Genomic DNA, 2072 nt, shown 5'->3' with positions numbered 1-2072 from the left:
TATCAAATAATTGTGCTGAGTGTAGGAAGCTAAAGAATTCACAGTAAATCTCCTGTGATTTCATTTGTATAAATTGTAGAAAATGCAACTATTCTAAATTAACATGGAGAAGATCTGAATTTTTCTGAGAAAAGTGTGGTGAGAGTAACAAGATGGTGAAATAAAATTACAGAGAAGTGAGAGAAAAAATTAGAGGTTAATTTAATTGCTAATAGCATGATTGAAGTGCTGATTCAAAGGCTGTACACATATACCAACATTTTCCAAATTGTACACTATAAATTTGAATTCACTATGGATTGAATTTTTGAATAAAGCAGTAACAAAAAATGAGTATATTGGCTGAGGAAGAGGAAGAAAGAGATGAATATTGACACTTGAATAATCACGGACTCCTGAAAATACACACATGTGAACACTGATTGCATATTTCAGGTAAACACTAGAAAAAGCAAAGTCACATAAAGTTGTTATGACAGGTGGGACATCCTGAAAACCTCACTAGGCATGTCCCACATCGCCCTGGAGCTGTCTCAGGGGAGCAGTCTCCTCCAGTGTTTAGAGGCACAGACACAGGTAATAGGGCTAACTCTGGCCAGATGTGTGATATTGGACACATTGCACAACTGCTCTGTTATGTATGTAATTCATCTTCTCTACAAATGTAACATTGACACTTGCACTGAATATATTCTGCAAATGTGTAAACATTAAATAAGATGATGACTGCTAATTGATCATCAAGGCACAATCACATAATCTGAAGTTATATTTTCCTGAGAGATAGGATTACCTCCAATGTTTTCTGGGATGCTCTCATCTTCTCTGGGCACTGCCCTCTCCTCAGCTGTCCCACCACAGAGCTTGCTATATAGTAGGAGACATGCAAATAGGGCCCTCCGTCTGCTGATAAAAACCAGCCCAGCCCTGACCCTGCAACTCTGGGAGAAGAGCCCCAGCCCCAGAATTCCCAGGAATTTCCATCTGGTGATCAGCACTGAACACAGAGGACTCACCATGGAGTTTGGGCTGAACTGGGTTTTCCTTGTTGCTATTATAAAAGGTGATTTATGGCGAACTAGAGACACTGAGAGGACGTGAGTGAGATAAGCAGTGAATATATGTGGCAGTTTCTGACCAGGTTGTCTCTGTGTTTGCAGGTGCCCAGTGTGAGGTGCAGCTGGTGGAGTCTGGGGGAGGCTTGGTACAGCCTGGGGGGTCCCTGAGACTGTCCTGTCCAGACTCTGGATTCACCTTCAGTAACCACTACATGAGCTGGGTCCGCCAGGCTCCAGGGAAGGGACTGGAGTGGATTTCATACATTAGTGGTGATAGTGGTTACACAAACTACGCAGACTCTGTGAAGGGCCGATTCACCATCTCCAGGGACAACGCCAATAACTCACCGTATCTGCAAATGAACAGCTTGAGAGCTGAGGACACGGCTGTGTATTACTGTGTGAAACACACAGCGAGGGGAAGTCAGTGAGAGCCCAGGCACAAACCTCCCTGAAAGGGTCCCAGAGACCACCAGGGGGCGCCAGGACACTGTGCACGGGGCTGTCTCCAGGGCAGGTGCAGGTGCTGCTGAGGGCTGGCTTTCTGTCATGGCCTGGGGCAGCCTCATCGTCAAATTTCCCCAGGGAACTTCTCCAGATTTACAATTCTATATTAACATTTGATGTCTCTAAATGTAAAACGTTTTTTTTTGTTCCTTTGTTTTTGTAACAAGAGGAAACACCCTCACCTCCACAGAAGCCAGGGTGTCACTTTGGGGGCAGAAATAATCCTTTCATGGTCAGGATGAGAGTCCTGAGGAATCTCAGGGAAACCTGGAGAGTGTTTTCCAATTAGACTCAGAGCAGAGACCTCCATGGGAATCTCTGATTAGAACAGGCCTTGAGCTCTGATGGGAGCCAAGAGAGAGGCTCACCCAGGGTCAGGGTCCTTAAAACCTGATGGTTTTCACAGCTGTCCCCTCTCAACTTGTAAAACTGTGCCCATCTGACTCAGACTGATTCAGCTGACCCTCTTTCTGCTGATCCATTTTCCATCTCTGTAGACTTGATTCT

The 2072-nt window shown here is 44.9% G+C and overlaps 1 gene segment (V, D, J or C); it reads left to right on the top strand.

Moving 5' to 3' along the window:
- The first annotated feature begins 938 nt into the window (after positions 1 to 938).
- On the top strand, positions 939 to 1489 carry IGHV3OR16-17 (immunoglobulin heavy variable 3/OR16-17 (non-functional)). The segment is given in 2 exon segments: positions 939 to 1063; positions 1161 to 1489. Coding segments are annotated over 2 exon segments (375 nt in total).
- Positions 1490 to 2072: the final 583 nt, after the last annotated feature.

This window comes from Homo sapiens, chromosome 16, assembly GCF_000001405.40.
Source record: "Homo sapiens chromosome 16, GRCh38.p14 Primary Assembly".
Taxonomy (NCBI): domain Eukaryota; kingdom Metazoa; phylum Chordata; class Mammalia; order Primates; family Hominidae; genus Homo; species Homo sapiens.
The sequence above is the reverse complement of the archived record's forward strand: the minus strand, read 5'-3'. Positions and strand labels throughout refer to the sequence as shown.